This window comes from Homo sapiens, chromosome 15 (assembly GCF_000001405.40).
Source record: "Homo sapiens chromosome 15, GRCh38.p14 Primary Assembly".
Taxonomy (NCBI): Eukaryota; Metazoa; Chordata; class Mammalia; order Primates; family Hominidae; genus Homo; species Homo sapiens.
In genome coordinates this window covers 59,220,455-59,236,090 of record NC_000015.10, presented here as the reverse complement: position 1 = coordinate 59,236,090, position 15,636 = coordinate 59,220,455, and the positions used below count along the sequence as shown (strand labels likewise).

Sequence of the window (15,636 nt, the reverse complement as noted above, 5' to 3'; positions counted from 1 at the left end):
GGATTAAGGAATAGCATATTTTAAGGTAGATGTGCCTAATATATAATGAACTCCTACAAATCAATAAAAAGATCAGCAGCCCAAAAGGAAAATAAACAAAGGACATGAAAGACAACTCATAGAAAAGGAAATATAAATTACTCACAAAACATGAAAGTATGTTCACCATCATGATAAGAAGAAAAATGCAAATTAAAACTGCATTAGAAAACTATTTTTTGCCTATCAGATTGGCCAGAATCTTACCATGTTTTAAACGCTTGATTGGTAGGAAGTAGGGACACAGTTGTTCTCATACATTGCTGGTAGGAGATGAACTAGTACATTTTAATGAAGAACATTTCAGCAAAATCTGTTAAACTTACACATGTATGCCATTCGACTCAGCAGTTCTGCTGAAAAGAATTTATTCTTTAGATATGCTGAAATGTATACAAAATAATACATGTATAAAGTTATTTCTGTCAATTTTGGTAATGCAAAAGACTGGAAACAACTTAAGTGTTCATCACTAGGCAACTGGTGAAATAATTTGTGGTTCTTTATATAATAGAATATTATACAGCAATAAAAATGAGGCTTCATGTACCGATTGTACTGATAGAGAATGGTCTCCAAGATGTATCATTAATTACAAAAGACAAGGTTCAGAACATTGTTTGTAATATATGCTGCCATTTGAGGGATCAAAAGAGAGTGCACATTTGTATTTGTTTGGGTATGTTATCACATATCCCTCGAAGTATACACAAGAAACTGTCAACAATGGTTGTCTTGAGGGAGGGGAGCTGGGAGGTTGGGAGAAGGGCCTACCCTTCCTGTATACCCTTTAGAAACTTGCATGGTTTGAGCTATGTGAACCACTTGCCAATTCAAGAAACTTATAAAAATTTTAAAGGACGTAGACAGAGAAAGGATTTAAGAGAAGGAAAAAAGAGAGATTAAAGAGTGTAAAGGAGTGTTGGGAAAGAGAAAAGATCCAGAGAATGAGGATACTCAAGAGGTGAAAATTAAAATCAGCATTGGCAGGAATGAGTAAAGCCTGCTCCCCAGAGCCATGGATGAGGGTGATGGCGAGCTAAGGTCCATAAGGGGCAGCCCAAGCTTGGCGCTCATCACCAGTATGCACCGCTGGTGACAGAATTCCTTCCAAAGATTAGTTTTTTAAATCAGAATTATGTAATGTTATTGCCATGGTCAGCTGTAGACTTTCAAAAGACACATAAAATTCTCTTTATTGTGGTTCCCTTTTTTTTTTTTTTTTTTTTGAGATGGGGTCTCACTCTGTCACCCAGGCTGAAGTGCAGTGGCATGATCTCAGCTCACTGTAGCCTCCTGCTCCTGGGCTTATGCATTCCCTTCCACCTCAACCTCCCAAGTAGCTGGGACCACAGGTGTGTGCCACCATGCCTGGCTAATTTTTGTTTGTTTTTGGTAGGGACAGGGTTTCACCACATTGCCCAGGCTGGTCTCAAACTCCTGAGCTGAAGCGATCCACCCACCTGGGCCTCCCAAAGAGCTGGGATTACAGGCATGAGCCACCATGTCTGGCCCCTTTCTATTAATTAAATAGTGTTCTATCATGTACTGGTAGATCAGAAAGCTTAAGGTAGAGCCAAACATTCCTCCTTTGAGTTTGTGGATCAACTCTTTCTATCTTTTGTTTGCGGGCCAGACGTGCCTATACCATTTAACGACAGCTTCTGTCAGGGAGAGAACAAAGGACAGAATCTTCTCTATCTCTTCCCTTCTTTAATTACAGACTTTAAAACTGAGAATATTTATGGATCCATCCATCCATCCATCCGTGCATCCATCCATCCATGCACCCATCCATCCATGCACCCATCCATCCATCCATCCATCCATCCATCCATCAGTGATCAGTGATGTCCAACAGAATTTTGTGGCATGTGGTGAGCATATCAGGGAAAAGAGAAAGAGCAAACTAAGGTTGCAGAGTGAAGGGTCCTTAAAGTGGCCTCTTTCTCTGAATGAAAGGAAGATGGAGAGCAGCTCTGTGCAGTAGAAAGATGAAGCAAGCCATATGTGTAATTCTAAATTTTCTAGTAGCCATGTTAAAAGAAGTAAAAAGAGAAAAAGGAAATTACTTTTTAAAACAGTATTATTTAACCCAATATGTAAAAAAAGATTTTATTATATAATTAATATAACAAAATTAATGAGATTTTTTTTTTTTGGTACTAAGTCTTTGAAATACAGTGTGTATTCTACAGTTACACCTCAGTTGGGGTAGCTTATGGCTTCCCTATTGGACAGTAAGGGCAGCTATAGAACCTAGGTTCATGTGGTTCAGTCCACTTGCTTTTCTCTATTCCTGTGATTGTACTGGATCCTGAGAGGGTTGACATGGAGACAAGAATCCAGGATGCTGTTTTGCTGCCTTTTTTTTTTTTTTTTTTTTTTTTAGACGGAGTCTCGCTCTGTCGCCAGGCTGGAGTGCAGTGGTGCGATCTCAGCTCACTGCAACCTCTGTCTTCTGGGTTCAAGCGATTCTCCTGCCTCAGCCTCCCGAGTAGCTGGGACTACAGGCGTGCACCACTATGCCCAGCTAATTTTTGTATTTTTAGTAGAGATGGGGTTTCACCATGCTGGCCAGGATGGTCTTGATCTGTTGACCTCATGATCCGCCCGCCTTGGCTTCCCAAAGTGCTGGGATTACAGGCGTGAGCCACCGCGCCCGGCCGATGGGCTACTCTTTTACCTCAGTTTGCTCTTTCTCTTTTCCCTAATATGCCCGCCACATGCCACAAAATTCTGTTGAACATCACCGATTGTTGATGAATACATATGGACGGACGGATGGATGGATGAATGGATACATAAAGATTCTCATTTTAAACACTGTAATTTAAAAAGGGAAAAGATAGAAGAAGATTCTGGCTTTTGTTCTCTTCCTGAGAGAAGCTGAGTTTTGTTAAGTGGTATGGGCATGTCTGGCCAGCAAAAAAAAAGATAGAAAGAGTTAATGAAGATCCACAAACTCAAAATAGATTTTACAAAGAAAAGCAGAGTTTATATAAATCCATGAGTTTTTAAAAGAGAGTAGGCAGGTTGGGAGTATGTTTCTAAGCTTTGAAACTGACCCATGAAAGGACCACCCAGAATTGCCCTTGGTGCCATGGCTAAGGATGATTCCCTCGTCACAATGAAAGCCCAGTTCTCATTTCTCATGGCAGTTTCTCTTCTGAATGTTCAGGAGGGTGCCTGTTACACCCTTTGTAACACTTTGGCTGTTACATAGTCAGTTAGTAGTTCATTAATTTACTCCTCTTTGCTACACCCCTACGACCTAGTAGCCAGACTGCAGACAGTTAATGTTGATTTTTCTCTTCCTGTTTTCCTATGAGGACAATGATACAGAGCCCTTGGCTTGGAATTAGTCAGTAGCTAAAGAGCACAAGCCAGAAGACTTGTTATTTCTGGAACATGTTTAACCATAGCATGTGAATAATTAGAAGTACAAGGAATGACTCACTTGTTGAAAGACTTCTCCAACATCAAATTCTATCTATTGAGCTGTCTCATGTCTATGGTGTGTTTTGCACACTTCTGCATAGAACTGGGATGTTTGAAAAACAAATCCTTCCCCCCAGGCCAGGACTCGTTCCACACGATCCACTGTTGACCCTTGCTGCTTAAAGTGTGTATCAGTGCTGGCAAAACCAGCAACACCAGGGAGCTGGCTACAAATGCAGATTCTTGGGCCTACCCCAACCTACTAAGTCCACATCTGCATTTTGACAAGATCCCCAGGTGATTCATGAATATTAAAGTTTGAGAAACACCAGGCTATATTTCCATAACCTTGTTTGGGGAGGAGAAGTGGATTAATTTTCCTTAAGGTAACTTGCAGTGAAGCAGGTGGAGATGGGATGAGATGGGTTGGTAGAGTAGTTGGGAAGGGGTAGTGAGAAGAAAGACCCTGGCCAGAACAGCAAGGACACGCCCCTTCAGGTACCACTTCACTTTTGGTGAAGTTGCAGCAATCAATTTGGACACTGAGAACGTTTGTATGAATAGTTCCTGATTGACAGTGGGGCCCTGGCTCCTGGGGACTCTGCATCAAGCCATGGGAATTGGAAGACCCAAATACACAAACAGGTTGAGGTCTGTCATGGTGAAAGAATAAATCCTCCAGAAACCCCACCAGTGACACACGGGTGTGGGGCCCCTCACCTTAATGCATTCAGAAACCAGGTCCTTAGAGAAAGTTTGGCGTACACTGTGTGGTAGGTGTTCACACCTTCCTAACCTCCGGTCTATTTGCTGGGACAGCACGTGAAGGACATTATCCTGCAGTCCAACCCGCTGCTGGAGGCCTTCGGGAACGCCAAGACCGTCCGGAACAACAACTCCAGCCGATTTGTAAGTCCCTTCCCTGTTTCAGAGAGTGTCGCTTGATTGATGATGTTGATGCTTCTGACTGAAGTCTAGTATCCCACAGGAAATGGGAGCCTTTCACATATCATCAGGAGGCCACCTCTTCGATCTTTCCTTCATTTTCTATAGCAGCATGCCGCCAAGCTGCAGTTTGCCTTTTTTTGCGCCCCGGGGATACAAACAAGATAATTTTGAAAATCATTTTCCACATCAGTTGCCTTACTAAGGAAAATAAATGATGAAAGTGGCAGCTTTGGCCTTGGAGGAGTTGTCTTTATGCCCTAGAGAAAAGACCTTCTTTCCCAGACCAAGAAATAACTAGAGTAGAGGGGTATCCCAGGTATCATTTCCCACTGGCAGTGGTTTTGCTTCTTAGAACTTGGTCCATAGACTCTGAAGGGTGCACAGAGTTAGACTGATCTGGCACCTTGGAGAGAAACTTCCTCCTCTCCATCCCTCAGAGCGAGCTGCCTGCCCACCGCAGCCCTCTGGCTTTGTGCATCTGTCTTATGCCCTACTCATGTAACCTAACGACATCCCAAAGTGACTGGACCTGGCCTCACAGGTTGCCTCTTAACTGGCTTACCTAACTGGTAATGAAAATGTCAACCAAGTGCATTGTTATGAATGCTCATTTAGTCATGTTTCTGTCTGGGTGTCTCCAGAGGGGGTAAATAGGAAAGCTGGCAAGGCTGAATATGAATATGTTCCCCTTGACAAAAGCCACATTTACAAAGAAACAAATGTTTATCCAGTAACCTTGATTTATATAGATTTTGCATCTTATTTCAACCATAGATCATGTCTGGCACTAAAGCATTCACGGAGCCATCTGTGAGGCTGATTCTGGAACGTTTTAAAATAAATAAGTGGGAATTTTGGAGAAAAACAATTTTCTTTTCCACTGTCTATTTTGGAAAGAAGCTTCTATTTCCAAGAGAATTTTTACTATGTGCTCATATAATAACTGTCAAGTTCCCTGGTGGGTTCTATCTGTTAGACTTGCCCTTACTTTCTTTGCTTTCCAATATTATTCAAACTACTCATTTGTTTGTCTCTCATATTTGGGCCCAATGCCTGAGTTGTGTTATCCTGAAGAAGTTTTCCAGATAATAAAATAGGAAAGAAGAATTAAACAAATTTTCCACTTGAATTAATTTTCAATCTAAATCTTATAAAAATGGACTTGACCAAATTTAACTCTTTATTTACCTTTTCCCCTGTCTTGGATTCCTTGGAGACCAGAAAAAAAAAACAATTAAATTGATATTTTCATTGATTTTTGCAATATAAATTATTCATTATATTTGGAGGATATATCAGTTTCTGTAAATAACAAAAACACTCAACATTTATTATTTTTCTAATTGCAAAATTTTATACAACCCTGATAGAAAGATTGGAAGAGACAATTCAGACACACATTCACCTGCACACACACACACACACACACACACACACAAACACACACTGTCTCTCTCTCTCTCACTATTCACCATCATGGATGAGAGAAATGTAAATGAAAACCACATATAATTTTCTGTCTCTCAAATGGGCAAACATTAAGTTGATTGATAATAATCGAGAAAACACGCTATTGGTTGAGAACTGACACATTCTTCCAGGAAAGTGATTGGGCAATTGTTATTAAAATTTTAATCGTTCATTATCTTTGCCCAACAATACTTTTAGAATAAATTACATAAGCTTCCTGCTTAAATAACTACTTATTTTAAAAGATATTCATAATATATTGTTAAATTAAAAAAACAGATTACAGAACAATATTTACAATATGTTCTTGTTTTTTTTTAATGTGCACATTATATGAAAGGTAACTAAGAGGTATGTAAATCAAAGTTTGACATCTATGACAGTAATTATTTAGCAAGAGAATGAAGAAGTGGCATCAGGGTAGAATTATGAGTAATTTCACTTTAAAAAATGCACAGGTATTATGAAGCATAAGAATGTATATATTTAACACTTACAAATCTTTTCAAGTTAAAGAATGTATTACGAAATACTTCAAACACGATTTAAAAACAATGCAATGAACATCTATGTATCTGGCACCCAGCTTAGGAAATAAATCATTACCAAGAGTCGAGGTGAAACTTCTTTTCATTTCATTATCAAAATGCAAATGCAACCTTTTATTCCCTTTATAAAATTTCCTGTCATCCCCCCCAGGCTGCTATACAGCAGTCCTAAATATGTTAACCTTTTGTTAGAAATTTTAACTTTTATATGACAATTATGAGCCATGCATATGCATTTTATTATGTTAGAGCAGTGGTTCTCAACCTTGACCACACATAAAAATCAGCTGGGTGCTTTTTGAAAACCACACAGCTCCGGGCCCTGGTCCTAGAGTCTGATGTGCGTGGCCTGGGCTGACAGCATGTTGGAAAGGCTCCCCAGGTGTTTCTAAGGGGCATCCAAGGTTGAGCACTGCTGCTAGGAGGACTTGGGAGCTTGCCTGTCCAACACCTGCCCTTCCTGGGTCAGATGTTCTGTTTGGTTTCATTTTCCCTCAACTGTTGAGGAATGGGGGACAGGCACTGAAGTATTCCCTCTATCACATGCCAAAAGGAAAGGGTGGTGAAGGTGGCCGCCAAAGGAAGCACGGGAGCTCTCTTTCAGTGAGCTTTTCTCAGGTGCCACTGACATTCCGCAGAGCGATGGCTGGTGGTTCTCTGTGCCTGGTGCTGCTGGGTGTTTTTGTTTTTTGCCTGGAGGAAAAGAATCATCAGATTAAGACACATAGACAGTTAGAGGCTGGCCGCCTTCGGTGGTCTTTCTTGACACCTAGAATAATTACGAACAGGAACACGGCATGTACTCACACATTTGCAGTGTGCACAGTACTTTTCTTGCCCTTAATGAGTTTACAGCTCCAGTCACAGACATAAAACCCAGCTGAATTCATCCCTGAGATGGGTGGATTTAGTCAGCATACACATTTTTATGTTATTAAATGTGAATGCGATGAGGCTGGGCATCTTCTCCAGTTTGACCATAGACCACACCACTCCCTCTTTTCCTTTATCCGTATTTACCCTTCTGGCCTCTGAGGGTGCTTAAGTTTCTAAGCACAGGAGACAAATTAAGTTCTAGTGAGAAAAAAAAACCAATTTAAATATACATATGAAATATATATAATAATTGTTATAATAATTATATATATAATTTTGATTCATTTTATTTTGGTTTTTGGACAGAGTCTCGCTCTCTGGCCCAGGCTGGAGTTCAGTGGCATGATCTCGGCTCACTGCATCCTCCACCTCCCAGGTTCAAGCGATTCTCCTGCCTCGCTGGGACTGCAGGCACCCGCCACCATGCCCAGCTAATTTTTTGTATTTTTAGCAGAGATGGGGTTTCACCATGTTGACCAGGCTGGTTGCGAACTCCTGACCTCCAGTGATCCACCTGCCTCAGCCTTCAAAGTGCTGGGATTACAGGCGTGAGCCACCGCGCCTGGCTATATATAATTAATATAACAACCTAGATACCTTTTCAACTACAGTCTAGGTTTTTATTCTCCTTTGTTCCCTATTAGCAGTCATTTAAAGAGGAATTTTCATAACAATGACAGTGACAAAAATCCCTAGGCCCGTCAGTAGCTAGAAAGAACTTTACTTTTAATAAAGTGTTTCCGTTCTAGATAAACATTTTAGATGCTCCGTAGGTAAGAGAGATTGAGTGTTTTTGCTCAAAGCCATGAGATGAAGCCTGACAGAGCAAGAGTGCTCTTCCTCTGAAAGGGTGCCATGCCATTTTTCTGCCTCATGATTTACACCTTCTGGTTGAGCAGACAGGCACCTACTGGGGGAAAATGAGCAAGGAATAGAGCATATCCTTATTTAGTCATGCTGGAATGATAGGTGCTCTCTCTAACAGAATCGTGTGGCTGGACAAAAGCACGGGTTATTGTCTGATTGAAAACTAAGGAAGTCTAGACTCAAATTAGGAGTAATTCAGAATGTGTATTTTATTAATGAATTTCCTTGAATTATATACTGTATTCAAAGCCTGTTTGGGACATCATGTTTTGTTCACCAACCATTGAAGGAAATCCCTAACTTTCTTGCAGGGAAAATACTTTGAAATCCAGTTCAGTCCAGGTGGGGAACCAGATGGTGGAAAGATCTCCAACTTCCTTCTGGAAAAATCTAGGGTGGTGATGAGGAACCCAGGAGAGCGGAGTTTTCACATATTTTACCAGGTTTTCCTGTTTACTTTTTTCCTACCCACTTCCTGTCCCTTCTCTACATTAAAATATTTCTCAGACTTCAGGCATAGACTATAGTCTAGGAAGCCAGGGAGGACTGATGATGATACCATGTACAAGTCAATGTGCAGAATTGTGAGAATGTCCTGCCCTCAAGGAGAGTGAGTTCTAATTGGAGTGATAAGACAGAAATTCCTCCAAAGCTAAATCATCAAGAAAGTATTGATGTAACTTCAAAACAAAACGAGGAGTGTTGGAGTCTTTGCCAAAGGAATTCAGGTGGGCAGGTTTGGCCGGATAGTAGGAGAGGTGTGAAGGAGGTAGAGCCCGGATGGAAAGTGGAGGGGATTGATGAGGGAAGACAGGTGACCTGCACCAAAGCAGTGGAGGTGGGAGAGGGAAAGCCAGTCAGGGAGCCCGGCCTCAGCCTGCCTGCAGGGCAGGCGTCTCCAGAACGTGAGCTACCGGAGGAAAGATTTGAGATAGGTTTGGGATCTTTAATGCCAAATTGAAAAGTTGCCACCTAGACCCTCAGAAGTCATGGAGAGTTTGGGGCCAGAGCAGCTTGCAGGGTGCTTTTTGATTATGTTACAGGCTTCAGCAGTCATCTGAGTCAGCTACTTTTATTTTATTTATTTTTTTATTTGAGACAGTGTCTTGCTCTCTTGCCCAGGCTGGAGTGCAGTGGCACAATCTTGGCTCACTGCAACCTCTGCATCCTGGGCTCAAATGATCCCCCTGCCTCACCCTCCCAAGTAGCTGGGACTATAGGCACATGCCACCACACCTGGCTAATTTTTGTATTTTTCGTAGAGGTGGGGTTTCACCATGTTACCCAGGTTGGTCTCTAACTCTCGGACTCAAGTGACCCACCCACCTCAGCCTCCCAAAGTGCTAGGATTACAGGCGTGAGCCATTGCACCTGGCCCTGATTCAGGTACTTTTGTAAAAGGTTTTTAAGTACTTAAAAAATATAATGATGTTAATAACCAAATTTTTTATGTTCTATTTACTTATTAGTATTTTATATTGAAGATCCACATTAGACTTTCTTCGAAGAAAGACCTGGTCACTGTTTTTTGTTTTGTTTTGTTTCATTTCGTGTTTAGTTTGTGGATCACTGGATTAGAAGGACATTAAACTGTGGAAGTAGCTCACATTCAATCTTTTCAATTACACACACATCTTAGGCAATGCCAAATAATTCTTTTAGTTTGTACCTGTTGGTTGAAAAAGTATATAAATGATTAAAACTTCTGTGAATTCAGTCATTTTTAAAATTGTATTAAAGCAACATATATAGATAAGTGAAAAATAATTATATATTTCACATAAATAATACCCAGTGCTAGATGGAAGTGTATAATGGATGTCAGGACTTCTTTAAATAAATGCAAGCCCCAACCCTCCCCCAGGAGTTCTCTGCCCTTAAGTCAGAAACCACCAGAATAGAGGCTGGGAACTGATGGGCGCAGGGGTTCAAGATTCTGACATGAAAGTAATTCTTGGCTGGGTGCGGTGGCTCACGCCTGTAATCCCAGCACTTTGGGATGCCAAGGTGGGTGAATCACGAGGTCAGGAGATCGAGACCATCCTGGCTAACACAGTGAAACCCTGTCTCTACTAAAAATACAAAAAATTAGCTGGCCGTGGTGGTGGGCGCCTGTAGTCCCAGCTACTCAGGAGGCTGAGGCAGGAGAATGGCGTGAACCTGGGAGGCGGAGCTTGCAGGGAGCGGAGATCGCACCAGTGCACTCCAGCCTGGGCGACAGAGTGAGACTCCGTCTCAAAAAAAAAAAAAAGAAAAGAAAAGAAAGAAAAAGAAATTCTTGAAGCTACGAAATACTTGGGAGTGGATGTGGGGAGAAAATCCTGCCACACAGGACCAGGGGACTTTCTAGATATGTAGGATCGGGAGGCATTGAAGAGCCAGCAGGGAAGTAGTTGAAGGATAAGGAGGAAAGCCAGGATCCTGCAGTGTCACCAAGCCAGGGAAGCCTCAGGGCGACATCGACAGGATCAAATGGTCAGAGCTCTTGGGCAAAAGGGACGAGCTGGGGTGTGGGGGCCAAAAAAAAGGCTGTTGGATTTAGGCACTGAAAAATAGCCATGCAAGGGTTCCGCCAGAGTGGTGAGGGGAGAAGCTAGAATGCAAGTGGTTATGTCATGGCAAGGAAGTAGATCCTGCAGCTTGGAGAAGTTCACAGTCAAGGAAAAGCTTCTAAAGAAGGCAAAGAGTACCAGAGAGCAGGAAGCTGCATGGCAGTTTTTTAACATGCACCCTGCAGTGAGAAACATGGAAAAGCCAGCTTAAAAAGCCATAGCAAGTTGGGCAGGAACTAAGTAATTAAAATCTGTTTTGCTTTCCACTCTTCCGAGGGTGGCAGTCCAGTTCCTTTCAGTGGACAATGGAAAATCCTCAGCTCTTGCAGGTCTTTCCAGAGTTAGGAATCAAAATTTGCAGAGATGACCTGGGGCTACTACAAGTACATATTTGGGGGCCAGGACTGCCTGTAATTTTAGAAAGCAGAGATAGAAAGTCCTTAGGGATGGTGGCTGCAGGATGCAGGAGTGACTTCGGGTGCCTTGTGGTCCACATCATGGCTCAACCTGTGTTCTCTTGCTCCAGCTCATCGAGGGCGCCTCTGCAGAGCAGAAACACAGCCTTGGCATCACCAGCATGGACTATTATTACTACCTGAGCCTCTCGGGCTCATACAAGGTTGATGACATTGACGACAGGCGGGAGTTTCAGGAAACTCTGGTAAGTGCTGGCGCAGGGCCAGGCAGGATCTGCTCTCCCAACTGGCCATTTCCTGTGGCCAAAAGGGCAGTGAAGGTTAATAAAGCAAAGAGCTGCATGAAATGTCCGCCTCTTTCTCTGTGAGCACTCTGTATGCTCATACATGTTTCAGTATCCTTAAACAGCCATGTGCCAGTTGCCTGAGGACCACTTAATGATTTGAGATGGGTAAAAAGAAATGAATTCATCATTATCACCCTGCAGGAGCTCTGATAAATAGGCAAAAATGATTCATACGTTGAGCATACCTGTTTGCTGATGGCCTACTCTATTCGTGAGCTATTTCCTTAGAAAAGCTAAGCAAACCGCACGTCTATGGACTGAATAGGTTTAGACATTTTGGAACGTCTTTAGTCTTTTCTCTTATTTCTTTTCTGGTTTTGAAGACTCTCTTCCCCTCTGTATTGTTTAGGGCAGAGGACCCTTTTTCTGTGCCATGCCCTTCACATTGCATGTATGTTATGGTCCAAGCTGTGAAACTAGGTAGATTATGGAGGGGTTCCATCCTGGGGGCAATAATGTAGAACTTTCTGGAGGTAGGCTGAACACCCACTTGGCCTCAAAGGCCTTCATTGCCACCCACTGCCCTTTGAGTCTGTTTCAAGCTGGGGACTATTCCTCAACCCAGATCCAGAACTGAGCAGTAGACTCTGAATGAGCAGCGTGGGTTCAGTACATTTGTGGTTGAAAGGGACAGAAAGTTCAAACAGACTGTGTCCTGGGTGCCAGGAAACAAAATGGTATCAACAGGTCACATGGCCTCAAAGCAGCTGCGGGGAAAAGTGCCAATAAGGAGTCTGCACACTGGTCCTAGAGTGTAGTTTTCTTAGGAGATGTTTCTCTTAAGATTTAGACATTTTAGCGGTATTTATTGCATTTAAGGGACCTCAGAAACTGGACTTTTAAATGATGCTTTTATTGGATTTCCTGGAGATTTTTCATTAAGATCCTTTTGCAAGTACAATATATTCTTATCCCTCCTGATGAAGGGAAAGATCTCGAGTCCACTTTGAGTAGGTGGAAAGGTCAGCAGCGACCTTCGAGGGGAAGCTGGCAACAAGAACACATCAAAGGATGAAGACAGGACTTGGAGACTTTGTGTACAACTACCACTCTTCCGAGTCTCTTTCCTCCTGGAGTATTCTCTTATTCCTGGAGGATGGCATGCTATGCTTAGAGACAGAAGTGCCCTTCCAGCATGACTTTGAGACGTGAGAAGAATGTGTGCATTGGGCAGTGACCATGTTGTACAAGAACGTCCTGCTGTCATCACAAGCTAAGCCACATGTGACTGCACAACCCAATCTTATGTTTTGGCTTTTTTTTTTTTTTTTCTTTGTAACTCGTCTGTACTTGTCACATCCTTATTTAGAGCAGCTGCTGTGCCTTGGCTTCTTCCTAAGGTGCTTTTAAAGCTGGTGACCAGCTTCTCTGGATAGTTTCTCTTTTCTCTTCCAGCACGCCATGAATGTGATTGGGATCTTTGCAGAAGAGCAAACGCTGGTGTTGCAGATAGTGGCGGGTATTCTCCACCTGGGAAACATCAGCTTCAAAGAAGTTGGCAACTACGCGGCTGTGGAGAGTGAAGAGTGTGCGTAGCCCTGGCATGTGGCCATTGAATGAGGGGTGGCTAGCTCTGATTAGAAGTAACCTAGCACTTTCCTTTGCTTAGATCTCAAATGGGAATATTGGGAAGAAGTGATAAATCTACATGTCCTCTGTGGCAAACAGAATGGCTTCACGAGAGACCAGACCTCTTCTATGCACCTGTCCCTGTCCTTACCCCCAGCCTTTCCAAGTCCCACACCATCGATTATTAATGGAATCGTTTCAATTTATCATTAACCTGGGGAAAGCTGGGAGGATTTCACACCTTGGTTTAAAGATAAAGTGATCTCTTTAATGGGGATTAGAGTAATGGCTTAATGCAAAAGATTTATTGTCTTTATCAAAACCTTTTCAGTAACTGGTCTTTAGGATCTAAATTCACTTACAGGTTTTAAAGAGCAAGCAATATAATATATGTAAATATGGGAAGCTCACAGCTTCACAGTTTGTTCCATGGATTGGATTACATTGGATTTCTGAACACAGAAAAAGATGGACATTGACTGTTGTGTTGACATTTCTGATGATCACTTTTAATGATCACATCTGTATACCTGGAGCCTCAACACCTAAATGGTCGTTTTTACTCTTTGAGAAAAAAAATCAGGGTTCTTCCTACAGAGAGGTGCTGCTGGTTACATGTGCCCAAAATCTACCATAAATACAGCGGCACATGACTTTAGCCTCTTAGGCATCAACAGCTTGCAGGCTGCTCTCAGAACCCACACATCCTTTAACCACCCAGGAAGACATTCTTCCTTTCTCAGCATTCTTTAAGGATGATAAATTTAGATGCTTAGTAATAAATAGCATCCCACTCATTGCTGACAATGCAGTGGGGATATTTCCATTCCAAATAAGGTTCTTTTTTTATGTTTTTGTTTTCTTTTCTGATAAAAGAGGGAAGTTCTGCTAACTTCTGATGTCTATCTGATAAAGAAAAAGATGAATTATGTTTACCAGGGAAGGGAGTAGAAAACAATAAATATACAGGGTGTCCATAAAGTCTAAAAACATGACCTAATAATCATAATAAGGATAACTATGTTTCTAAACTTTGTGTACATTATCCTTGACATTTAACAAATGCACATATATTTCCAGTAGGATCATTAACACTTGGCCTTTTAATTGTAACAGTGTTGGTTTGGTGGTAGTTTCTGTTGAAGTAGACTGGATTTTTTTTGCCTTCTTGGATAGTAAAATAATTTACTGCCTCTTTATGCTTGAAAACAAAATCATGACACTGAAACAGCAAACACTTCCCTAGATGTTTGAAACAAGAAGTGTTTTATTGCACATTGATGTCCAGAGTTAGTAGTCTTCTCAGCCAGATGGGTAAGGCCGAGCACTGGCAACTGCCCATGAAATTCCCTGACTAGAGGCGATGGAGGCATGGAGATTGGAAAAGGCTGAGATGGAAGCCAGAGAGGTCCAGGAAATGGGCCTCCCCCTACCAATAATTTCCTTTGATTTGGGGTTTTGTTCATTTGGTAATACATTAACGTGGCTTGAGGGGGTATGCAGTGAAAGTTCTCCCTTCTATACCTTTTCTAGTCCACTTGTTCCCCTCGTCAGAGGTAACCAAGATTCTCAGTCTCTTGTGTTCCCTTTAAAGGATGTGTGTTCCAAAACAACTACACACAACCACTCCTTTTTCTCACTTTTGTGCAATATTGGGGGCTTATACTGCAATGTTCTACAGTTGCTTTTTCACTTAACATGTGTCTTAGGCCAGGCATGGTGGCTCATGCCTGTAATCCCAGCACTTCAGGAGGCTGAGGCAGGTGATCACCTGAGGTCAGGAGTTTGAAACCAGCCTGGCCAACATGGTGAAATCCTGTCTCTACTAAAAATACAAACATTAGCCAGGTTTGGTGGTGGTGCGCACCTGTAATTCCAGCTACTCTGGAGGCTGAGGCAGGAGAATCGTTTGAACCCTGGGCAACGAGCGAGTCTCCATCTCAAAAAGGGAAAAAAAATTATGTGTGTGTATATATATATAATATATATATAAATTTTATATATATATTATATATATAATTATATATATAATGTGAGATGATGCTATATCAATTCCTAAGGAGCTTTATCTTTTTTTTTTTTTTTTTTTTTTAAGAGATGGGGTCTTGCTTAGTTGCCAGGGCTGGTCTCGAATTTCTGGCCTTAAGTCATCCTCCCGCCTTGGCCTCCGGAAGTGCTGGGAATCGAGGATTGAGCCACTGCACCTGGCTGTCCTTTTTGTAGCTGCATAGCATTCCATTCATTGGCTACACTTTATTTATCTGTTGTTGGACATTAATATGGTTTCTGATCTTCTGCTGTTACAAGACTGAATGAACACTACTGAAAGGAATAGCCTTGGTTTCTATCATCTTTCTCATATTTTAGTATATCTATGGAATAAATTTGTAGAGGGAAGTGGTAGTCCATGCCTTTATAATGGAAAAAAGCAGACTTTCTCTTGCTCTTGCAGTGCAGAAAAAAAATGGAAAAAAATGGTAAGATTTTCATCAGAACTGGCCTACTAAAGCAAAATAGCCATTAATAACAGCAAGCTTTTTTGTTTTATTTTGTTTTTTGTTTT

General features: G+C 41.8%; 1 protein-coding gene across 1 annotated transcript in view, besides 1 other annotated feature; it reads left to right on the top strand.

Annotated features, from left to right (window-relative positions):
• The window catches only part of MYO1E (myosin IE), a 240,438-nt gene that overhangs the window by 136,781 nt on the left and 88,021 nt on the right, over positions 1–15,636 (top strand). Inside the window, exons 6-9 of the mRNA NM_004998.4 lie at positions 4,300–4,389; positions 8,501–8,632; positions 11,268–11,402; positions 12,900–13,032. Coding sequence (NP_004989.2) covers positions 4,300–4,389; positions 8,501–8,632; positions 11,268–11,402; positions 12,900–13,032 — 490 coding nt within the window. The remainder of the gene's footprint in view (positions 1–4,299; positions 4,390–8,500; positions 8,633–11,267; positions 11,403–12,899; positions 13,033–15,636) is intronic.
• Positions 6,432–6,931: an enhancer, noted in NCBI's record as "H3K27ac hESC enhancer chr15:59521359-59521858 (GRCh37/hg19 assembly coordinates)". NCBI's record gives its function as "activates a minimal SCP1, AML or CMV promoter by ChIP-STARR-seq in naive H9 embryonic stem cells {active_cell/tissue: H9 hESC(naive)}" and the evidence as "EXISTENCE:reporter gene assay evidence [ECO:0000049][PMID:30033119]".